Source organism: Homo sapiens, chromosome 13, assembly GCF_000001405.40.
Source record: "Homo sapiens chromosome 13, GRCh38.p14 Primary Assembly".
NCBI lineage: Eukaryota > Metazoa > Chordata > Mammalia > Primates > Hominidae > Homo > Homo sapiens.
In genome coordinates this window covers 18,175,441-18,201,155 of record NC_000013.11, presented here as the reverse complement: position 1 = coordinate 18,201,155, position 25,715 = coordinate 18,175,441, and the positions used below count along the sequence as shown (strand labels likewise).

Here is a 25,715-nt window from a genome sequence, read left to right as displayed (position 1 = left end):
ATCTCCTGACCTCATGATCGGCCCGCCTTGGCCTCCCAAAGTACTGGGATTACAGGCGTGAGCCACCGCGCCGGGCCGACTCCATTGCACTCTTACAGACCATGTTGACAAAATTATAACTGCAACAGTCAACTACAATAGCAATTTTACCTCTCATATACCACTTGAAAAAGCACATCATTCCCAATAACCACATTTGATGATTTAAGTAATCACGATACCACCGTACACTACAGATGATCAGGTTTCTGTTTCCTCCTGACAAGAAGGTCAGGAATTCATTTCGACTAAAACAGGTCAGCAAACCCGTTCCAGATTCTCATCTGTAAAGATCTACTTCTAGAGGTGTCCACCTGGAGCCTGGTGAACATTGGACATCAAACACCAGGTTGACACTATTTCTTCATCTTCAACAAAAACCACACAAACAAGCTTTGGAGAAAGAACTCCCTCCTCTCAATAGATGGTGCTGGGATAAAATGGCTAGCCAGTTGCAGAAGAAAAACAGTGGGCCCCTGTGTCTCACCATGTACAGAAATTAACTCAAGATGAATGAAAGCTGTAAATGCAAGACCTCAAACTATTAAAAGCCTGCAACGGAACCTAGGAAATACACTTCCTGACAGAGGATTTGGCACAGCATGGATATGCCTAAGTCCCCAAAAGCAAGTGCAACTAAAACAATTATTGACAAGTGGGACCTAATATACAAAAGAGCTGCTGAACAGCAGAAGAAATTACCAACAGAGTAAACAGAAAGCCTACACAATGGGAGATAATGTCCCCATGTATGCATCTCATGAAGTCTGATATCCAGGATCTACCTCAAAAATGTTAAGCAAATAAATCAGCAAAACAAAAACTCAGTGAAGAAAGGGCAAAGGGCATGAAAACACACATCTCAAAGGAAGGTTTATAGCAACCAACGGACAGGACATTTCTCTACCTCAGTAATCATCAGAGAAATGCAAAGCAAAAGGCCCATGAGATAGTATTTCACACTGGTCAGAATGACAATTATGACACAGTCCACAAGAATGAATGCCAGCGAGGCAGAGGAGGAGAGGATGCTGGTCTGCTGTTGGTAGAAATGCAAACTAGTTCAGACACCATGGAAAACGATGTGGGGATTTCTCAAATAACTTTCTCGACATCACCAATCCCCACAAAAATGTCCACAAAAACCACACTAAGAGTCCATCTCATTCCACTCAGAATGAATACTACCAAAAACAAACAAAACACAAATTTTTAAAGGTGACAGCCAGTGTAGACTTACAGAAGAGAAACCTCTTAAATGCTATTGGTGGGGATGTAAATTAGTATACACACTATGAAAAACAGCTAGAGGTTCCTGAAAAAATTCACAGTACAACTACCATGTCAGCTAGAAGCCCCATCACTGGTTCCACAATTAAAGCACTTGAAATCCCTAGGTTGAAGAGAGTTACCTACCTTCCCATGGGTACTAAAGCACTCCTAACTGTGGCCAAGGTACAAAACCAACCTACCTGTCTGTACACAGCTTCAGGGATGAAGAAACTGCCATACAGATACACCACGGAATATGTTTCAGCCATAAAGCTTTGGGAAATCCTGCCATCTGCAGCCACATGAAGAAACCTGGAGAACATCAGGTCCAACAAATGAGCCTGGTAGAGAAAGTCCCATGCCATGTGATCTCAGACATGTAGACTGAAAAAAGCTTTATCTCCTAGAAGTAGAAAGTTCAATAGGGATTACCAGAGGCTGCTGGGGAGGTGGAGAGGGTCTGGAAAGGAATCAGTAATGGGTACAAAGTTACTCTTAGATGACAGTAATCAATTCTGGTCTTCTATTCTACAGCAGGGTGACTAGCCTTAATACAAATGTATCATATATTTCAAAGTAGCTAGAAGGAAAGATTCTGAATGTTGTTACCACTCAAAAAGTAGTAACTATGAGGTGAAGAGATGCTAAATAACCTGATTTTTTCATTACTCAACATATACATGTATCGAAATCTTTCTTGTACCCTCTGCTTATATACACTTAGTATATAGCAAATAGTGTTTTAAGAAATACAAAGAAACAATGCCAAAATTTATGTGGAAATATGAAACACCCTGAATTTCTAAAGCAATCCTGAGAAATACAAACCATATGGGCTGCATCACATTCCCTGGGTTCTAATTAAAGGAAAATCCCTAGTTAACCAACCCATATGTTACTGGCATACACAGAGAAACACAGACCAGTGAGCAAAATGAGGGCGCTCAATAATAAACACAAATTTACACAGAGTGAACACATTTTTCAAAACACCACCAAAACAACACAATGGGGAAGGTTTCCAAAACTAGATATCCATATGCAAAAGAATAATACAGGATTCTTGTGGTACTAAATAATACAGGACTCTTGTGGTACCAAAAAAAAAAAACACTTTAACTCAAAAGGATTAAAGATTATTCACAAAACTTGCAACCATAAAGCTCTTATAAACACAACCTCGAGTGTGTGTATATTTAGGGAAACTTGGATGTATGCTCCCGGTTTGCAAAAAGTGTGGTACTAAATAATACAAATAGTGTGTACTAAATAATAAAAAAATTTTTATTTTGTATTATTTTGTATTTATACTAAATAATACAAAATATATTTAGTGTACTAAATAATACAAAATATATTTAGTGTACTAAATAATACAAAATATATTTAGTGTACTAAATAATACAAAAAGTGTGGTACTAAATAATACAGAAATAATTCACAAAACTTGCAACCATAAAGCTCTTATAAACACAACCTCGAGTGTATGTATATTTAGGGAAACTTGGATGTATGCTCACGGTTTGCAAAAAGTAACAAAAATACAAGGGAAAAATCACTGACAATGGACTGCTTTGGCAGTGATTTTGTTTTTTCTTGATTAGTAAACAATAGCACACTAACCAAGAAATTACATGTGGGACCGCATCAAACTGAAGAATTTGTGCCCAAAAAAGGAAAGAAACAACGAACAAAATGAAAAGGCATACTAAAACTTATAAGAAAAGTTTGGGCAAACATACAGTGGATAACAGGTTACTTTTGAAAAGGCACAAGCCAGTAACACTAACGGCTGGCAAAAAAACAAAACAACAGAGAAATAACCAGACCAAAATTGGGCAAATAACCTGAGTAGATATTTGTGCAAAGAAGACAGAAAACAGATTCAACATTTATAAAAACGTGGTTAACATTACTACTCATGAGAAAAATGTAGATCAAAACCACTCTCAGATCTTATCTCACTCCAACTAGAATGAACATCACAAAAAGATTAAAATATTTAAAAATAAAATTCCTGGTATGAATTTCCAGAAAGGGGGACTGTTTGTGGAAATGTAAATTGGTATTAACACTATAAAAAACAGTTGGGGGTCCTGCAAACAATAGAAAAAAAAAAAGGAAATACCATACCATCTAGCAGTCCCACTACTGGCTATATATTCAACCTACCTGTTCACCCACAGATAAAGAGATCAAGAAACTCTCATATACATACACTGGGGAATATTCTTCGGCTATCAGAATAATCAAACAGTGTCATTTAGAGCAACCCAGATGAACCTGGAAAACATTATGATAAATGTGATGAGCTAGGCCTAGAAAGACAAACACTGCATGATACCACTCATGTGAAATCTTAAGATGTTTATCTTAAAGAAGTAGAAAGCACAATATTGGTTACCAGAGTCTGGGAGACAGAAGGGGAATGGAGAAGGATTGGTTATGGAAACAAAGTTATCTTAACATTAAAAGAATAAATCTGAGTGTTCTCCTCAGCCTGGTGACTGGACTTAACCGTATTACATTTTTCTAAAGAGCAAGGAGAATTTTGAATGTTCTCTTTACACAAAAATAATACCTGTATGAGGGAATAGAGATCCTAAGTACCCTGATTTGATCATTACCCAATTTATATGTATAAAAATGTACCCCTAATTATGGCCCTTTATGTTGTAAAAAAATTAACAGAAATAAATACATAGTGCTAAAAATCACAGGGAACCACAAAAGCAATGAATATCTAAAGGAATCCTGAGAAATACAATCAAAGTGAGAACCCACAATCCTTGATATCAAATTAAATTGCCAAGTTGTAGTTATGCAGTAGATATATGGTACTTGCATAAAAAGAAATACCTAGAACTATGGACAAAAACAGGGAGGACAAAAACAACACAAATATGGACACAGTCAACTGACTTTGATAAAGAACACCACAATGTGGAAGGCAGAGTCTGATCAATGAATAGCTTTGAGAAAAATGATATCCGGATGCAAAAGCGAGAAACAGGACCCTTATTTTACACGATGTATGAAAATCAACCGCCCCCCCCATCAACTGAAGGCCAAAACAAAATACCATAAACCACAAAATGTTTTTTAAAAAATTACTGTGTTTACTTAAGTAAAACACAGGTTGAGCATATATTTTGGGTCACTTGAATCTCTGTTAACCTTTGCAAAGAGGAAAAGAAACAAACACCCTGGAAGAAAAACCTCACTGACAATTAAATGCTTTGTTACTGATGCATATTTTCTAATATGGGTGACCATTATGACACGCATAAAACGCAAAAAAAAAAAAAATATGGGACTACATCAACGTGAAAAGTTTCTGCATGGCAAAGAAAACTACTTTCCAAATAAAAAAGCATCCCATAGATTATGCAAAAATTTCAGGCAATCATGTAATTCACGAGGAGTTGTCAACTAACGTGTACACAAAAAAGAGTACAAAGTAGAAAAAGAATCCAATCTAATATTTCGCAAATAACCTAAAGAGACAATTCTGCACAGATATAAAATCGAACAACAGATAAGAGATAAGGTCCTCGAAATTAACTATTCATTAGAATACTGTAATTCAAAACCACACGCAGATAGTCTCACACTTATTGAATATTCCTAGAAAAATTTTTTAAAAATAGGAGGGTCTGGGAGCCGTGGCTCACGTCTGTAATCCCAGCACTTTGGGAAGCCAAGGCGGGTGGATCACCTGAGGTCACGAGTTTCAGACCAGCCTGACAAATATCGTGAAACCCCGTCTCTACTAAACATAAAAATACAAAAATTAGCCGGGCGTGGTGGCGGGCGCCTGTAGTCCCAGCTACACAGGAGGCTGAGACAGGAGAATTGCTTGAAACCGGGAGGTGGAGGTTGCAGTGAGCCGAGATGGCGCCACTGCCCTCCAGCCTTGGAGACAGAGCGAGACTCCGTCTCGAAATAACAAAAACAAAAAAAATTGGAATGGGGGTTTGGTTTTGGAGAAACGGGAACTCATACACTGTAGGTGGAAATGAAAATTAGGGTACACACCATGGAAAACAGTTAAATAGCTGGAAACTCCTCAAAGAATTGAAACTACAGATGTCCCCTGCTCTAGCGAGGTCTCTTTCTAAAGGTCCTGAGGCATAAAAAATAACCCTAGACCCCAGCTCAGAGGCCCGTGGGGCTCGGAGGGACCCAGTCCAGCGCTTCACCGCCGGCTCTGGGCCAGGGCGCTCCTATAGGCTGGACGTGGGTCGGACCGGGGCATAGCCTTCCCGGCGGGGGTGTGGACGCTGCAGAGGCCAGGATCCCACAACCGCCCCAACGCTGACGACTCGGGCCCAGATGCCCACTTAGAAGTCAGGGCCCGAAAGCAGGGAGCGGCCGGGAAGGAGTAGGGAGACCCAGAGGGTTCCAGGTGGGGTTCATCCCCCTCCACTTACCGCCGAGGCCTGCCACCTCCTCCACCAACAAACGGAAGCCACCACATCTTCTCCGAGACTCGCTCTGACCACGCCGCCGATGCTGCCCGGGCCTCGCACGAAGCGCAGTCTCGGCTTCCCTCGGGGCCTGCATGCTGGCAGCGTCCCTGGCGCCAGGCTGAAGCACCACCCCCTCTTAAAGGGGCCGCGGCTGGGACTGGGCAGAAGCAGCTTCGGGTTGCACAGGCTGAGCGTCTGCCCAGCCCCAGGGGTGGAAGAAAGGCCCCCAGTCTGTCATCCTCCCGGGCTCTAGGGCCCTAGAGGTCGCAGAAGCCCCTCCTGTGACCCCAGCCCCTAAATCGGCTCCCTTTGCCTGAGGAGCGCCCGGGACCTGCCCCTGCCCTCCTCGGGACCTCAGCTTCACCATCCTCAAAGAAAGCGGCCTGGCTGGAGCTCTGGGGTCCCTCAAGCTCGGCGCCTCAGGATCCAGGGTGGGCTCCCCTGCCCCTCTGCAGAGGGGGCCCAATAGCCACGGAAAGCTGGGGGCTGGAGGGACAGTCCCGAGGGCAGCAGGGCGTCCTTGGCCTCACCGTCTACATTCGTCCTGTGGGAGCCCGGGGGCGTCGCTAGGGCCCAGACTCCTGCGGCCTCACCAGGGCTGCCTGGGTCACCGGGCTCCCCAGGAGGCAGGGAGGGACCCTGGGGTCCAGCGCTGCCCCCACCTCAACTCCATTCTGCGTCAGCATCCGCGAGGGGATCCTGTGGACTGGACCCAGACCCACTCCTTCCCGGGGAGCGGGACCCGCATCGGTCTCTGTGACACCCACGGGAGGGGCCGTGCTGACCTCTCCCGGGGATCTGGGGGCGAGGTGGGGGAATCTCGGCCACCTCTTGAAGCTCGCTGAGCCCCCCACCCCAGAGAGCGCTCAGGAGCAAAGGAAAGGACGGAGAGCCCACACATTTTCTATCTTTCATTTCCGTTTTTTCTTTTTTCCCCCCTCCAAAATGAAAGACGTGTGTAGCTTTGTCCCCTGTACACCATCCATTCCCCATGGCCGCTGTGCGGATCCAGCCCGCTGGTTGCCTCTAGGGTCCTGGGCGCCCGGCGGTCCGCATGCAGCCCGGGGCCTGCCCAGGTGAGGTCTGCGGCCGCCACAGCGCTGAGGTCCCGCCTGGCCGGGGCGCACGGGCCGCTGGGGATGCTGGCTGCGAGGCTCCGGGGAGGTGGAGCGGGAGGTTGTCCCAGGCCCTGGCTGCAGAGCTCTTGATGTCACGCCTGACACCCTCCATCCACCGCCTCGGGGCAGCGCTTCAGAGCCCCGGCAGAGGCAAGAAGTCGATCACTTTGTTCTTCATTCGTTGGAAAAATGGAAAAGCACATTATAATCCCTGGAACAACCACTTCAGAGAAAGAGCAAAAAATTAAAATAGGATTGTAAATGACACACTGAAATAAGTTGATTTTAAAAATGGTAGTCAATGGAAAAACAGGATCAGAAGACAGGAGAGACAGGGAAAACAAATAAGTTATCTGACTGAAACAGAATTAGAAACTAACAACAGTAAGAAATATTGGACATCTGAAAATATGTGAAAATTTAACAACCCACCTCTAAATCATTGGATCAAAAAAAATCACAAGATAAATTGGAAAATATTTTGAGCTGCACTCCAGTTTGGGTAACAGACTGAGACCTTGTTTCTAAGAAAACAAAACAAACTTCAAAAAGCTATAAAATTAAATGCCAATTTTCCCCCTTACCCAAACTCTCCGTGGCTCTCCTTTGCCCTCAGAGTCAAGCCCATGCTTCTCACTGTGGGCTCCAGGACCTAGGTGGCCTGACCAGTGCACACCCTATCACGATCTCCTCCTCTGCCCACTTGCTCACGCTGTCCAGTCACACACACTATTTTTGCAAATGCCAAGCTCCTGATCACCGCTGGGCCTTTGCCACTGCAGTTCCGCCTGCCAGGACCAGTCTTTCCCTAGACCTTCCCATTCCTGCCTCTTCCTGGCTTGGCTGCCTCTTTCTGGTGCTTCAGGTCTCAGATCAAATGTCACCTCTTCAGAGAGGACTTCATTGAAATCTCTGCCTAACACAGCCCGTATCAAGGTCAACACTTTTCTTTTTAGACTTAGGTTTTGATATAAAGAAGTTTCATAAAAATGACTTGGGCAGCTATCATCTGTTTAAAAGGTCTGACTTTGCTGAAATAATGTGGGCTTTCCTGTTCTTTGAGTTTTGATAAAACAACTGTAAAACCATCTGCCTTTTTAAAAAAAATTGAGATTGATGTATACTTTCTGTTATTACTATTTTTTTACATTCTGTCTCCCAGGCTGGAACACAGTTGCTCATAGCTCATTACAGCCTCAAATTACCTTGCCTTTGTAACAGTAGGTCCTCAGTCACCTTTCTCATCTACAGATGTTGGTTTACTTAAGCTTTCTAATTACTTGGAGGTCAGCTTAGCTCAGTGGTTAGCACAAGTAGCTAATAAATGCTCGAGTATGAGGGTGCAAAGAAAGGGGTAGGGAGGTGCAAGACTCTTGGCTTCAAATGCCCAGTCCCCTACTCATCTGCTCAGGCCCCTGTCTAGCCTCTGTATCTAAGCCAAACTACACGCCTCCTCCCCTGAGAAGCCCTCTTGGATTTCTCCTGTCCCGTCTTCCCTGCTCTATCCTCGGGTGAGTGGATCCACCCATCTGCCTCTGTGCTGGGCAGATGCCACTGCTCTCTGCTTTCTGGCTGGACAAGGCAAGGGGGCAGGTGTGTGTGTAGAAGTCCCCCTAAACCTTGGCCTTTGCCTCATGCCTGGCGCATTCAACCTTTGCTGACACCTCCACAGAAATACCAACCTCACCAACATCTGCAGAATGGGCCGCCAGGGTCTGTCTGGAGCTTGGGTGGGATTTTCACTTGACTACAAATACACACACATACACCCTAGGCTTCCAGGTCTGCATTCCTTGGCTGGCTCTTCACACTTGAGTCCAAGACAGGTCAATGGTTAGTGGCTGGATTTGCAAGCATGTGTGTTTCTGGGCAGGATATCAGCTGGGGCAGTCTGAGAGGAAGCTGTCAAGGGAAGCTAAAGAGGAGGGAGTCAGTCACGTCTCTCTTCACCTGTTGCACTCTCTAAATTTTACTGTCCACTCCTAGGCCTGATCTAGAGGGCTGTCTAGTCTAGGGGAGACAAAGTTGGATGTATCTACTGCCAGCCCCATGGGGTCAGAACTACAGGGGAAGGATGGGGACTGTGGGATTCCAGAGGAACAACAGGGAGGGCTTCTTGGAGGAATGCTTGTTCTTGAGCTGAGTTTTTTTTTTTCTCTGTAGCTCAGTCTGAAATGCAGTGGCACAATCACTGCTCACTGCAGCCTTGACCTTCCATGCTCAATTGATCCTCCTACTTCAGGGTGGGACTACAGGCACATGCCACCACACACAGCTAATTTTTGTATTTTTTGTAGAGATGGGGTTACATCATGTTGTTCAGGCTGGTCTCAAACTCCTGGGTTCAAGTAATCCTCCTGTCTTGGCCTCTCAGAGTGCTGGAATTACAGGCATGAACCACCTTATCTGACCTGAGCTGAGTTCTGAAGTGTGAATAGGATTTGGCTAGGTGAAGAAGGGAAAAAAGGACCTTCTAGACAGAAATATTTGTCAAAGATAGAGAGAAGCAGGCAGGAGTTGATTAGGGCAAGGTGTTTGAATGTCAGGCTGGATGCAGAAATTTTCTCACAAGGTCAATGTGGAACCATGGAGAATGTGTGAGCAAGGGAGGCCATGATTAGAGCTTGATCTCTCAGGGGCAGAGTGGGGGACAGCTTGGTTCTTTGGTGATGGGATCAGGAGAGTTCCAGTGTCATGGGGGGTCAGGAGAGTTAAGCCCCGCATCAACTCATCTGCACCTGTCACCTCGCACCAGAGTTGGTGGGGGACCTCCTGATGTTCTGGAGGGCCAAATAAGCCGTGGGATCCAGTGACTTACAGTGTGAGGTACAGACCAGCACAGAGAGGGTACCGCCCCAGGCTCTGCTCAGATGGACACAGCCCTGACCTCATCTCCAGCCTCCTGCCATCTCCACCCCAGCCCTGATAGTCCTGCTTTCCATGGTAGCCATGAGCTGCGTGTTAAAATGATAAATCAGCCCCATCCCTTCTCTCCTCAAAACCCTCTCATAGCTCGTCTTTGCTCTTAGACTAAAACCCAGAGCCTCCTGCAGCTCAGAAGGCCCAGTGTGGCCCAGCCTCTGTGGCCTCTTGCCCTCCCCACCCACTCCAACCTCACTGCTGTTTCTCTCCCCCTTGGGATCTTTGTACCTGCTGTTTCTTCTGCATGGAATTCACTTCCTGTCTCAGCTCTAGGACATCAGTCCAGAAAGGCCCCCAACTTCCTGCCTCTCGGGGTTCCCCTGTCACGTGACCTCTGCACTAGCCATAGTGTCCCTATAACTAAAATTGAGACAGATTGAGAAGGGGCTTAGTTGAGCCTTCTATGCCCAAGAGACTCAGGCCCAAGCTCAGCCCCAGTCCCGGCTCTCATGAGACCACATGCATAGGGGTCATTTGGGGGATTATCTTGGCACTGGGTCCTGTGGGATGGTGTCACCTCCAGCCTCCAGGGACTCATCCTAGCCATGGGAATGTGTCCAATTCCTGCCCAGGACTAAAATTAGCCCTGGAGATTACATTTAGTAAGTCAAGCTGGAGGTCAGGGGCTGGAGCCCACAGCCTGGGCTCTGCAGAGCTGTGGCGGCTCAGAGACTCAGCCCAGAGAACATGGAGGTATGCTTAGGGTCACACAGTGGGCCACAAGTGCCACCTGAGGTGTCAGATACTTGTGGGCCTGGGACACCTGGATGATGAAGGGTCCAGCATAGGCTGGAGCAGTGCCAGAGGTTGGGGTTCTGAGAATCATCTGTGGCCACTCCCAGAGAATGACCTGAATTTGCTGAGAGTTTGTTGCCAGGCCTTGTGGTGGGCACTTGGCATTTATTGCCTGCCATAGAGGTCTGTTACCTGTCCCATTCACAGAACAGCACAGAGAGGCCTAGAAATCAGCCTCCTACGCTGAGAGCCACCTCAAGGGTCATAGAAGAGGCTGGGACCCAAGCATAGGCCCATGTGACTCTGGGGAGTCACTCATCTGAAGCCTCAAGTCATCTGTGACATGGCAGAGGCTGGGAGGTGGAGTGTATTCACACGGTTGGCAGAGCAGGGATGTCCCCTGGGGTTCTCAGGGGCCTGGGATGGCATGCCTGCTGCGGAACGGGCAACATGATTTCTTCCTATGGAGGAACCTTGCATGGGGGTGCTGGAGAAAGCCTTGTCCCTGCCGTGGCCCAGCAACCTCCTGCTTCTGAGACCCCCACTGGGGGATCCAAGATTCCTTGAGGTGGGGTCCAGGGTTTCTCCTGAGTCACCAAGTGGACCCCTGGACCTAAACTCTGGTCTGAGGGCTCCAAGCCAGAGTCTTTCCAGGGAATCCCTGTACTCTCCCACTGGAACAGGGTTGGTTTCCATCATTCTCTTTTCAAAAACAGAAAAAAAAATTAGCAGAAATAATTCACTGGTGGTTGGGGGGAATTGGAAGATTCAGATAATCAAAGAGTTAAAACAGGCTGGGCGTGGTGGCTCATGCCTCTAACCCCAGCACTTTGGGAGGCTGAGGCAGGCTGATCACCTGAGGTTGGGAGTTTGAGACCAGCCTGACCAACATGTAGAAACCCAGTCTCTACTAAAAATATGTAATTAGCCAGGTGTGGTGGTGCATGCCTGTAGTCCCAACTACTTGGGAGGCTGAGGCAGCATAATTGCTTGAACCTGGGAGGTGGAGGTTGCAGTGAGCCAAGGTTGTGCCATTGAACTCCAGCCTGGGGGACAGAGCGAGACTCCATCTAAAAAAAAAAAAATTGGAAAAGTTGTTGGGAATATAATCCACACAAAAATATCCTCAATCACATTAGAGTGGCCAACATGCCAATTCAAGAAATTTAGAGTACTTTTGTGAAGTACTATACAGGACAACAATCACCAAGACACAGTTATCAGATTCTCCAAGGTCAACATGAAAATAAAAGCCTTAACAGGAGTTAGAGGAAAGGGTCAGGTCACTTTCGAAGGGAACTCTATTAGGCTAACAGTAGACCTATCAGCAGAAACCTTACAATCCTTAAAATCTTAGGAGCCTATTTTCAGCATCCTTAAAGAAAATAAATTCCAACCAATAATTTCATATCCTGCCAAACTAAGCTTCTTAAGCAAAGAAGAAATAAAATCCTTTCCTGGCAAGCAAATGCTAAGAGAATTTGTTACCATTACACTAGCCTTACAAGAGGTTCTTTAGGGAAATGAAAAATAAAACCTGCTAACATAAAACACACTTAAATACATAGCCCAAAGACCATGTAAAGCAACTACACAGTTGAATCTACGAAACAACCAGCTAACAAAACAATGACAAGATACAAATCTCACATATCGATATTAACCTTGAATGTAAATGGTCCAAACACCCTACTTAAGAGGGACAGAGTGGTAAGTTGGAAGACTCAACCATATACTGTCTTCAAGAGACCTATCTAATATGTAATGCCATCCATGGGATGAAAGGAAAGGGTTGGAGAAAGATCTCTCATACAAATGAAAAACAAAGAGACCAGAGGTTGCTATTGCTATGTCATATAAAACAGACTTTAAACCAACAACAGTAAAAAAAAAAAAGGCATTACATAATGATGAAGCATTTAGTTCAACAAGAAGACATAAAAATCCTGAAAATATAGGCATCCAACATGAGGGCACTCTGATTCATAAAACAAATACTTCTAAACCTGCAAAAAGACTTAGACAGCCACACAATAATAGTGGGGGCGAGTTACTGGGTGCAGCACACCAACATGGCACGTGTATACATATGTAACTAACCTGCACGTTGTGCACATGTACCCTAAAATTTAAAGTATAATTAAAAAAAAAATAGTGGGGGATTTGAACATCCCACTGACAGCTTTAGACAGAACAATCATTGTGATGAAAACTAACAAAGAAATTCTCTTTTTAAAAATGTATTATTATCATTATTATTATTATTATTATTATTATTATACTTTAAGTTTTAGGGTACATGTGCACAACGTGCAGGCTTGTTACATATGTATACATGTGGCATGTTGGTGTGCTGCACCCATTAACTTGTGATTTAGCATTAGGTATATCTCCTAATGCTATCCCTCCCCACTCCCCCCACCCCACAACAGTCCCTGGTGTGTGATGTTCCCCTTCCTGTGTCCATGTGTTCTCATTGTTCAATTCCCACCTATGAGTGAGAACATGTGGTGTTTGGTTTTTTGTCCTTACGATAGTTTGCTGAGAATGATGGTTTCCAGCTTCATCCATGTCCCTATAAAGGACATGAACTCATCCTTTTTTATGGCTGCATAGTATTCCATGGTGTATATGTGCCACATTTCCTTCATCCAGTCTATCATTGTTGGACATTTGGGTTGGTTCCAAGTCTTTGCTATTGTGAATACTGCCACAATTAACATACGTGTGCATGTGTCTTTATAGCAGCATGATTTATAATCCTTTGGGTATATATCCAGTAATGGGATGGCTGGGTCAAATGGTATTTCTAGTTCTAGATCCCTGAGGAATGGCCACACTGACTTCCACCATGGTTGAACTAGTTTACAGTCCCACCAACAGTGTAAAAGTGTTCCTATTTCTCCACATCCTCTCCAGCACCTGTTCTTTCCTGACTTTTTAATGATCGCCATTCTAAGTGGTGTGAGATGGTATCTCATTGTGGTTTTGATTTGCATTTCTCTGATGGCCGGTGATGATGAGCATTTTTTCATGTGTTTTTTGGCTGCATAAATGTCTTCTTTTGAGAAGTGTCTGTTCATGTCCTTCGCCCACTTGTTGATGGGGTTGTTTGTTTTTTCTTGTAAATTTGTTGGAGTTCATTGTAGATTCTGGATATTAGCCTTTTGTCAGATGAGTAGGTTGCAAAAATTTTCTCCCATTCTGTAGGTTGCTTGTTCACTCTGATGGTGGTTTCTTTTGCTGTGCAGAAGTTCTTTAGTTTAATTAGATCCCATTTGTCAATTTTGGCTTTTGTTGCCATTGCTTTTGGTGTTTTAGACATGAAGTCCTTGCCCATGCCTATGTCCTGAATGGTATTGCCTAGGTTTTCTTCTAGGGTTTTTATGGTTTTAGGTCTAATATGTAAGTCTTTAATCCATCTTGAACTAATTTTTGTATAAGGTGTAAGGAAGGGATCCAGTTTCAGCTTTCTACATATGGCTAGCCAGTTTTCTCTGCACCATTTATTAAATAGGGAATCCTTTCCCCGTTGCTTTTGTCAGGTTTGTCAAAGATCAGATGGTTGTAGATATGCGGCATTAATTCTGAGGGCTCTGTTCTGTTCCATTGGATTATATCTCTGTTTTGGTACCAGTACCATGCTGTTTTGGTTACTGTAGCCTTGTAGTATAGTTTGAAGTCAGGTAGCGTGATGCTTCCAGCTTTGTTCTTTTGGCTTAAGATTGACTTGGCAATGCAGGCTCTTCTTTGGTTCCATATGAACTTTAAAGTAGTTTTTTCCAATTCTGTGAAGAAAGTCATTGGTAGCTTGATGGGGATGGCATTGAATCTATAAATTACCTTGGGCAGTATGGCCATTTTCACGATATTGATTCTTCCTACCCATGAGCATGGAATGTTCTTCCATTTGTTTGTATCCTCTTTTATTTCATTGAGCAGTAGTTCATAGTTCTCCTTGAAGAGGTCCTTCACATCCCTTGTAAGTTGGATTCCTAGGTATTTATTCTCTTTGAAGCAATTGTGAATGGGAGTTCACTCATGATTTGCCTCACTGTTTGTCTGTTATTGGTGTATAAGAATGCTTGTGATTTTTGCACATTGATTTTGTATCCTGAGACTTTGCTGAAGTTGCTTATCAGTTTAAGGAGATTTTGGGCTGAGACAATGGGGTTTTCTAGATATATAATCATGTCATCTGCAAACAGGGACAATTTGACTTCCTCTTTTCCTAATTGAGTGCCCTTTATTTCTTTCTCCTGCCTGATTGCCCTGGCCAGAACTTGCAACACTATGTTGAATAAGAGTGGTGAGAGAGGGCATCCCTGTCTTGTGCCAGTTTTCAAAGGGAATGCTTCCAGTTTTTGTCCATTCAGTATGATATTGGCTGTGGGTTTGTCATAGACAGCTCTTATTATTTTGAGATACGTCCCATCAATAACTAATTTATTGAGAGTTTTTAGCATGAAACGTTGTTGAATTTTGTCAAAGGCCTTTTCTGCATCTATTGAGATAATCATGTGGTTTTTTCATTGGTTCTGTATATATGCTGGATTATGTGTGTTGATTTGCTTACGCTGAACCAGCCTTGCATCCCAGGGATGAAGCCAACTTGATCTTGGTGGATAAGCTTTTTGATGTGATGCTGGATTTGGTTTGCCAGTATTTTATTGAGGATTTTTGCATCGATGTTCATCAGGGATATTGGTCTAAAATTCTCTTTTTTTGTTGTGTCTCTGTCAGGCTTTGGTATCAGGATGATGCTGGCCTCATAAAATGAGTTAGGGAGGATTCCCTCTTTTTCTATTGATTGGAATAGTTTCAGAAGGAATGGTACCAGCTCCTCTTTGTACCTCTAGTAAAATTTGGCTGTGAATCCATCTGGTCCTGGACATTTTTTGGTTGGTAGGCTATTAATTATTGCCTCAATTTCAGAGCCTGTTATTGGTCTATTCAAGGATTCAAGTTCTTCCTTGTTTAGTCTTGTGAGGGTGTATGTGTCGAGGAATTTATCCATTTCTTCTAAATTTTCTAGTTTATTGCATAGAGGTGTTTATAGTATTCTCTGATGGTAGTTTGTATCTCTGTGGGATCGGTGGTGATATCCCCTTTATCATTTTTTATTGTGTTTATTTGATTCTTCTCTCTTTCCTTCTTTATTAGTGTTGCTAGTGGTCTATCTATTTTGTCGATCTTTGCAAAAAACCAGCTCCTGGATTCATTGATTTTTTGAAGGCTTTTTTTGCCTCTATTTCCTTCAGTTCTGCTCTGATCTTAGTTATTTCTTGCCTTCTGCTAGCTTTTGAATGTGTTTGCTCTTGCTTCTCTAGTTCTTTTAATTGTGATGTTAGGGTATCGATTTTAGATCTTTCCTGATCTCTCTTGTGGGCATTTAGTGCTATAAATTTCCCTCTACACACTGCTCTATATGTGTCCCAGAGATTCTGGTATGTTGTGTCTTTGTTCTCTTTGGTTTCAAAGAACATCTTTATTTCTGCCTTCATTTCATTATGTACCCAGTAGTCATTCAGGAGCATGTTGTTCAGTTTCCATGTAGTTGGGCAGTTTTGAGTGAGTTTCTTAATCCTGAGTTCTAATTTGATTGCACTGTTGTCTGAGAGACAGTTTGTTGTGATTTCTGTTCTTTTACATTTGTGAGTAGTGCTTTACTTCCAACTATGTGGTCAATTTAAGTATAAGTGAGATGGGGTGCTGAGAAGAATGTATATTCTGTTGATTTGGGGTACAGAGTTCTATAGATGTCTCTTAGGTCCACTTGGTGCAGAGCTGAGTTCAAATCATGGATATCCTTGTTAACTTTCTGTCTCGTTGATCTGTCTAATGTTGACAATGGGGTGTTAAAGTCACCCATTATTATTGTGTGGGAGTCTAAGTCTCTTTGCACATCTCTAAGGATTGGCTTTGTGAATCTGTGTGCTCCTGTATTGGGTGCATATATATTTAGGATAGTTAGCTCTTCTTGTTGAATTGATCCCTTTACCATTATGTAATGGCCTTCTATGTCTCTTTTGATCTTTGTTGGCTTAAAGTCTGTTTCTCCTGAGACTAGGATTGCAACCCCTGCTTTTTTTTGTTTTCCATTTGCTTGGTAGATCTTCCTCCATCCCTTTATTTTGAACCTATATGTGTCTCTGCATGTCAGATGGGTCTCCTGAATACAGCACACTGATGGGTCTTGACTCTTTATCCAATTTGCCAGTCTGTGTCTTTTAATTGGAACATTTAGCCCATTTACATTTAAGGTTAATATTGTTATATGTGAACTTGATCCTGTCATTATGATGTTAGCTGGTTATTTTGCCCATTAGTTGATTCAGTTTCTTCCTAGCATCGATGGTCTTTACAATTTGGCATGTTTTTGCAGTGGCTGGTACTGGTTGTTCTTTCCATGTTTACTGCTTCCTTCAGGAGCTCTTGTAGGGCAGGCCTGGTGGTGACAAAATCTCTCAGCATTTGCTTGTCTATAAAGGATTTTCTTTCTCCTTCACTTATGAAGCTTAGTTTGGCTGGATATGAAGTTCTGTGTTGAAAATTCTTTTCATTAAGAATGTTGAATATTGGCCCCCACTCTCTTCTGGCTTGTAGAGTTTGTGCTCAGAGATCTGCTGTTAGTCGGATGGGCTTCCCTTTGTGGGTAACCCGACCTTTCCCTCTGGCTGCCCTTAACCTTTTTTCCTTCATTTCAACCTTGGTGAATCTGACAATTCTGTGTCTCAGGGTTGCTCTTCTCATAGAGTATCTTTGTGGTGTTCTCTGTATTTCCCGAATTTGAATGTTGGCCTGCCTTGCTAAGTTGTGGAAGTTTTCCTGGATAATATCCTGAAGAGTGTTTTCCAACTTAGTTCCGTTCTCCCTGTCAATTTCAGGTACACCAATCATAAGTAGATTTGGTCTTTTCACATAGCCCCATATTTCTTGGAGGCTTTGTCCATTTCTTTTTACTCTTTTTCCTCTAAACTTCTCTTCTCACTTCATTTCATTCATTTGACCTTCAATCACTGATCCCCTTTCTTCCACTTGATCAAATCGGCTACTGAAGCTTGTGCATGCATCACGTAGTTCTTGTGCCATTGTTTTCACCTCCATTTGGTCATTTAAGGTCTTCTCTATGCCGTTTATTACAGTTAGCCATTCATCTAATCTTTTTTCAAGGTTTTTAGCTTCCTTGCGATGGGTTCGAACATCCTCCTTTAGCTTGGAGAAGTTTTTTATTACCAACCTTCTGAAGCCTACTTCTGTCAACTCATCAAAGTCATTCTCCATCCAGCTTTGTTCCATTGCTGTGGAGGAGCTGTGACACTTTGGAGGAGAAGAGGTGCAGTGGTTTTTAGACTTTTCAGCTTCTCTGCTCTAGTTTCTCTCCATCTTTGTCATTTTATCTCCCTTTGGTCTTTGATGATGGTGACCTACAGATGGGGTTTTGGTGTGGATGTCCTTTTTGTTGATGTTGATGCTATTGCTTTTGTTTGTTAGTTTTCCTTCTAACAGATTCCTCAGCTGCAGGTCCGTTGGAGTTTGCTGGAGGTCCACTCCAGACGCTGTTTGCCTGGGTATCACTGGCAGAGGCTTCAGAACAGCAAATATTGCAGAACAGCAAATGTTGCTGCCTGATCCTTCCTCTGGAAGCTCTGTCTCAGAGGGGCACCTGGCTGTATGAGGTGTCAGTTGACCCCTACTGGGAGGTGTCTCTCAGTTAGGCTACTTGGGGGTCAGGGACACACTTGAGGAGGCAGTCTGTCCATTCTCAGAGCTTAAACTCCATTCTGTGGGAACCACTGCTCTCTTCAGAGCTGTCAGACAGGGAAGTTTAAGGCTGTAGAAACTTCTGCTGTAGAAGGTTTCTGCTGCCTTTTGTTCAGCTATGCCCTGCCCCTAGAGGTGGAGTCTACAGAGGCAGGTAGTCCTCGTTGAGTTGTGGTGGGCTCCACCCAGTTCAAGCTTCCCAGTGGCTTTGTTTACCTAGTCAAGCCTCAGCAATGGCGGATGCCCCTCCCCCAGCCTGTCTGCTGCCTCCCAGTTCGATCTCAGACCACTGAGCTAGCAGTGAGCAAGGCTCCATGGGCGTGTGATCCTCCGAGCCAGGTGCGGGATATAATCTCCTGGTGTGCCATTTGCCAAGACTGTTGGAAAAGCACAGTATTAGGGTGGAAGTGTCCCAATTTTCCAGGTACCATCTGTCATGGCTTCCCCTGGCTAGGAAAGGGAAATCCCCCAACCCCTTGTACTTCCTGGATGAGGTGATGCCCCACCCTGCTTCAGCTCACCCTCTCCGTGGGCTACATCCACTGTCCAACCAGTTCCAGGTACTTCAGTTGGAAATGCAGAAATCATCTGTCTTCTGTGTTGATAGTGCTGGAAGCTGTAGACCAGAGCTGTTCCTATTTGGCCATCTTGGTGCCTCCCCATGTTTTTTTTTTTTTTTTTTTTCTGATTTCAACTTGACAGCAGAACTCAACCATGCTGATGGTGCAGACACATGTTGGTGGGAACTTTTCATTGTTTGATTCTGACATTTATGATAAATGGATTCACTTACTAAAGTTTTGTAGAGAGAGTAATAACCATGTAATAACCTAGATCATATTTCCTTTATAAAATCAAACATACCTGGTGGTTTTAGAGCAATATTTTTTACCTCAGTCACTTGTGTTTATTAGACAAGAATACTAAGTGTCAAGATGTTTGCATTGCCTTTCATATTTTTATTTAGGGGACAGTGTAATGATAAATGACTTTGAATATATAACCAGACACACCTTCATCCCCCCCCAAATCTGTGCTAATTTACTGTTTTTTATATTTCATGCATGAAGCTAAATTGTTTTTACCCATGGATTAAAGCAAAATGATACAATGATACCTGAATCCTTGCCAAATAACATGAAATGGCAACTGCAAAATTGTTCTGCAAAATTTTACAAGGTATTATGGTATTGAGGATATCCCAAGAAAACTTGAGAGGCATTATATTTCTCATTGGAGACTGACATTCCTGTATCAAGTAAAGTCTCAGGAAAAAGAACCAGGTGTGACTATTTTAATGCAACCTCTTGGTTGAAATAAAATGATTAAAAGTAGTGTTTATCTTGTTGATAACTGAGAGGCAAATATTAAAAATTTTGCTCTGAGATGAAGAGAGTTCACATGATAAGTCTCTGGGATGTGAACTAAACTGGGAAAGCACCAGGACCATTTCTAAGACATACAGTTAATTTGGGTTTGGATAAACAGAATAATGTTCCCCACTCCCTAAAAAAGATATTTACATCCAAGTTCTTAGATACTGGAAATACATTACAATTTATGGCAAAGAGAATATAAGGTTGCAAATGGGATCAAAATTGCCGATATGCTGATGAAAAATAAGAAGACTATTATGAATTATCATGGTGGGCCCAGTAGAATCATAAGCATCAAAAACCATGGAAGAGTGAAGAATAAACCATATCAAAGTGATAGATCATGAGAAAGACTCAATTGGATATATTTTTAATTGTTTGCTTTAGTGAGTCTTTCCACTTTAGCATATATTTTATTCAATTCAACTGTGCAAATGTGATTCATTTTATATGCCTGTCACTGAATTGGGTGCTAAAAATAAAATGAGAGAACAAAAAATAACAAAAATTGATTTCTAAAGATGGAGGGCAAAGGGCATTAGGAATATAGATAGTGTGCACCCTATACAGGCATGATTGTAAATGTATTCATTATATATAGAAAGTAATAATTATATATATATAAAATTATTTGGCTTAGAAAAGAGTGCAGGGGGTACATTATCAATAATTTAGCGTCAAGGTTAATCAAGAATAAGTGAGTAAAATAAAAATAATAATGATGGTAATAATTTCAAACACTGAAGAAAGAACATTGATGATATGAAGTCATTTTTTTTCAGATCTACAAAATATGTTTCTTCTATGCCATTAGGATGAACACAGTTTTCACTTATGTTATCTTTTAAAAATGCCTTTAGTCGTCAAGCTAGCATTAGAATCTCAGCCAACATCTTCCATCTTCTCTTCCACATTTTTACATTCTTTCAGGATCACAGGCCTAAGACCCATGATCTGGTCACCTGTCATTTGACCTTTGTCCACCTAGTAATGCTCTTCACTGCAATGGAGTTTTTGTCTCCAGACATGTTTGAGCCACTGAATTTTCAGAATAACTTTAGATGTAAAGCTTTCTTTCCTTCTTTTTTTTTTTTTGGAGACGGAGTCTCACTCTGTTGCCCAGGCTGGAGTGCAGTGGTGCGATCTCAGCTCACTGCAAGCTCCACCTCCCAGGTTCACGCCATTCTCCTGCCTCAGCCTCCCAAGTGGCTGGGACTACAGGCCACCACGCCTGGCTAATTTTTTTTTGTATTTTTCAGTAGAGACGGGGTTTCACCGTGTTAGCCAGGATGGTCTCGATCTCCTGACCTCGTGATCCACCTGCCTCGGCCTCCCAAAGTGCTGGGATTACAGGCGTGAGCCACCGCGCCCGGCCTAAAGCTTTCTTCTATTTGCATATTCATTAAATAGCTATTTCATCCATGAGATAGCACTTGGATGAATGAAGCCAATGTATTGATATTCAAGTTTATCTAGTTTTTATAACAAAAATCAACAAAAGATATGTCTTATGCCTAATAGTAACAAAGAGAAGTAATTAGTCAATGTGGTTTATCCCAATTCTAGCTTTCTTTGCTTCATCCAGTAGTTCCTGGAGCTGCCAAAATCAAATCCTTTTTGTGTAAACATGCTAAATGCATCTGAAGTGAGTTGACTCAGGTTTCCTCAGCAGAAACCCCAAAATTACATAAATAACTTCTTCTTTTCCCTCCTTCCTGCCTCAAAATCCCTCTTGCTTGAGGAAAATAATTGCTACATCAGTGATCTCATTGGTTCTCGTTCCACAATTTTACTGGTTATTACAATAACTTTTCCGTCTGTTTTTAGCAATACGATGTGACGTCTGTAAAATCTATACTTCAACTCATTCTCCTTCCACCCTTGGTGAAAACGTGCTGTAGAATTAAAGCAAAATTATGCTGTCCCCTGATCCTGGGCGACAGAGTGAGACTCTGTCTCAAAAAAAAAAATAAAAATAAAAAATAAAAAATAAATCATCGCATTTATAGCTACAATTATTTATAATAAATCTTGAAATATTTTATTTTAGTTCAAAGGCCTTATGAAAACAATGTTATTCTATAATATATACTTAATGATATTGTAAGTATTTTGTTCCTAGTGACATAGTTCAGCATATTTTCCCCTATTTCATGTTAATTACGTTTCAAATGTTATGGAAAAGAAATAAAAGTTATCCCAATAGTAAATAATCTCAAGATTTTCTAAAAAGAGCTTTATAAATTTAATTTTCTTGACTTTTGGTGTCTTGAAATAGAAGATTATTTTTGTATGTATGTATCTACCTCACAGAAGTTATTGATTTGGTGGAAGAGCACTAGGAGTAGAGTCAGAAAAGCTGGGAAAAATCCTGCAGCTTCCTTATATTTTTAACCTTTTGCTATAGAATTATAACTAAATGAGTTCATTGATTTGTGTGTGTAAAAGTGCTTAGTACAATGCCTAGACTTATCATTTATCAATAAATATCATTCTTAAAACTGACCATAAAAATATTAGAAAAGTAGAATATCTAGACAATATTTTAGAAAAAGGGAGCTTAAAGAATTTGGAAAATGTCATTCATCTGTCCAAATGTCTGCCAAGCTAAGGCTCTCACTACAGGGAGAGGTATAGTTTAGATGTTAGAGTGTAAACCCAATTTTTTAATGTGGTCATAGTTATTAATTCTTTATGCCTTGCAATTTGTTGTAATTCAGTAAAAGCCTTTTTTCATCCTGAAATTTAAAAAAATTATCTAGTGGTTTCTTTTTTGCTTTCATGGATTCACTGTCTTCAAATAAACTTTTGAACTTTGGGGAATTTATGCCATATGAGGTTTGAGGTTTTGACTCAACTTTTTTCCCATTTAGATATACAGTTATGGCAACCTCTCATTGTATAAATGTACGGGTTATTATTTAATTTCAGAAACAATCACAATATGTTATCCTATTGGATACTAGTTACAAGTTTTCTTTGTTTTATTTAGATTTCTGAAACTGATGAAAAAGAAGACCTGCTGCATGAAAACTGCTTGATGCAAGATGAAATTGCCTGGCTCAGGCTGGAAAAAGACACAATAAGAAACCAAAACCTGGAAAATAAATACTTAAAAGAATTTGAAATTGTGAAAAGAAAGCGTGAAGACCTTCAAAAGGCTCTAAAACGGAATGGGGAAACATTAGCAAAAACGATAGCCTGTTACAGTGGACAGCTTGCTGCTCTGACAGATGAAAACACAACGCTGCATTCCAAACTGGAGAAGCAAAGAGAGAGTAGGCAAAGACTGGAAACAGAAATGCAATCATGTGGTTGTAGACTGAATGCTGCTCTATGTGATCATGATCAAAGTCACTCATCAGAAAAAGATCAAGAGCTTGCTTTCCAGGGCACAGTAGATAAATGGTGTCATTTACAGGAAAATTTGAATTTTTGTATTCTGATTCTTTCTCTGCAACTTTCCAAAGCTGAGAGTAAGTCCAGAGTCCTCGAAACTGAGCTCCATTACACAAGAGAGGCTCTGAAAGAAAAGGCTTTGGTTTTTGAACACGTGCAAAGTGAGCTAAAGCAAAAACAGAGTTGAATGAAGGACACTGAAAAAATGTACAAAAGTGGATACAGTACAATGGAAAAATGCATAGAAAAGCAGGAAAGATTTTGTCAACTAAACAAAATATGTTGCTTCAACAGCAACTGGATGATGCTCGCAACAAAGCTGACAATCAAGAAAAAGCAATACTTAATATTCAAGCCAGATGTGATGCTAGAGTAGAAAGCCTTCAAGCTGAGTGCAGAAAGCACCGTCTTTTACTAGAAGAAGACAGTAAAAGGATGGTCAATGGATTGAATCATTTGAAAGAAAAAGAACCCCAATATGAAAAAGAGAAAGCAGAAAGAGAAGTAAGTATCAAGAAAAATAAGTATTTTTCAAACTTCCTGAAGCAAAATTTAAAGTAATATTTGGTTACAGCTGAATATTGGATCTAGTTGAATATAAAAAAGGATACATATGATAAATATATCTGCTTAGAAACATTCCTTGTTTCCAACAAGTCAAAGTTAGATCTGAGAGATGTTTTCCTCTGATTAAAGTCAATGTGTCACTTATAAAATTTTAAGTTATAAAATGTTAATATAGACTAATAGTAATAATATAGTCATACTACTGAAATAATAATTTTAATGTATTTATGTTGCAACATTTTAAGACCATGATAAATCAGATATATGGAAATGCTCATACCTAAAATGGTATTTTGAAGTTGATTCAATAAAGTGGGGTACTTTGACAGTTAATTTCAGATTTCCTAGATGAGCTGAAGTGTATTCCCTATTTCATAATTACTTTTCTTCAGTAGCTTTAAATATGTCTTAGTTGGTAAAATTTTGTTTTTCTTCATGTCAGTTTGACTTAAATCTGAAACTATTTCAATCTCAAGTTATGTATAGATATGATCATTCTATTTTCAAAGGCATTTAATTTTACTTATAATATGGGGAAAATGCAGTAAATTTTAGCCAAATCATATTTGATTTAATCTTCCCACTGGCATTTATAATTTACTTTCATTTTTAAATAAAAAATTTGCTCCTAATTTTTATTTCAAGGCTCAATTACTATCATTTGGATATAACTTTGTCCAGGACAAAAAGAGGCATAGCTATCTGTGATTTATTAGTTTGACACTGGATCCCCATTTTCAGACTAAGGAGGATTTCAGACTAACGAGTGGCAGGACTCACATAGAGTAGGAATGGAGTGAGTAGGGAGGAGAGATATAGCAGCTGAGTCAGGGTGGGAGGTGGAGGGCAGGTTACTTAGAGCATCTAAGGCCACTGTAATTTTACTTTTCTTCTGAGATAGACATCTATTGGAAGGATTTAAGCAGATGATTTAACGTGAGGAACTCTGAGGTTGATTTGAGTTTCTAATAAAAAGAAAGAGGGAAATCATTCCACAATGTATAATTTACTACCATCGGTCTCACCCACATACTCATTTATTTTTGAGACTTCAGGTTTTTAAGCATTGCAGATTCATCAGGGGAGGAATGACTAGTGGGCTGAATATGTTGTGTGAATAACAATACCAGTTTGGCAGGAAGATAACACCTTCTGTATCCTTAACTGGATTCAGTAATACACAGGAATGTGTACACATGAGGAAAAGAAGGTGAATCGATCTGTGTGGTGATATTTTTTAAAGTATATGCTTTAGAGTTAAATATTATTAATGGTTTAATAATAAGGTGATTTGTAAAATCAGTAACAAAAATAACATCAGGTAGCTGTGAGACAGCTTCAATGAAAACGAGATGATGTCTTAAACAAACAATCAGCAACAAAAGCTTTGCTGGATGCTTCATCGCGTCACTGCATCTATTTAGAAAATGAGATGCAGGATTCAAGGAAGAAATTAGACCAGATGAGAAGTCAAGTATGTATGAAACTTTGCATGCCAACAACTGTTCATCTGTAGCTAGCTAACTAATATAAAGTGTTTTGGGGTACTAATTTTAGTGGATGGCTTTCTTTTGTATTTTTATTATAATTAATTTTATTAAAATTTTATAGTGGATGGCTTTCTTTTGTATTTTCCTTATTATTAATTTTATTAAAATTTTATTATAACGCACCTATATCTTAATCTCTTTTATTCTGCCATTTTTTTATGCATATTTTTTCTTAAATATTTAACCTTAGGAAAGTTGAGAATTATGCATCATTTCTCACAGAAGTTGAGAGAGTTTTTTTTCCTGTTAAACAGTCTATTTTTAATGATTTCTCTGTTGGCATGGTGAGGCAAGCCAGATTAATTCAGAGGACAATGTCTAATGGAATGTTTCAGAAAATTATCTTATTTTTAGTTTCTACTTTTCTGAATGTATAAAGAACCTGTGTGTACTTATTTCATAGATTTCAGGTTAACTTGTTCAGAAAGGCCATTTTACTGAATAAATTTTTATTTTGATGAAAATCCTTACTCTCTATTGGGCTCAGAGAGCACATTTTGT

General features: G+C 41.2%; 1 long non-coding RNA gene and 2 pseudogenes across 1 annotated transcript in view; 2 read left to right on the top strand and 1 right to left on the bottom strand.

Annotated features, from left to right (window-relative positions):
* Positions 1 to 5,859, bottom strand: part of FAM230C (family with sequence similarity 230 member C) — a 36,720-nt gene extending 30,861 nt beyond the window's left edge. The window contains exon 1 of the long non-coding RNA NR_027278.1: positions 5,745 to 5,859. This is a non-coding gene — a long non-coding RNA (family with sequence similarity 230 member C). The remainder of the gene's footprint in view (positions 1 to 5,744) is intronic.
* A 978-nt stretch (positions 5,860 to 6,837) lies between these two features.
* On the top strand, positions 6,838 to 24,419 carry LOC124903223 (ankyrin repeat domain-containing protein 36B-like; annotated as a pseudogene).
* On the top strand, positions 20,533 to 20,766 carry VN1R111P (vomeronasal 1 receptor 111 pseudogene; annotated as a pseudogene).
* Positions 24,420 to 25,715: the final 1,296 nt, after the last annotated feature.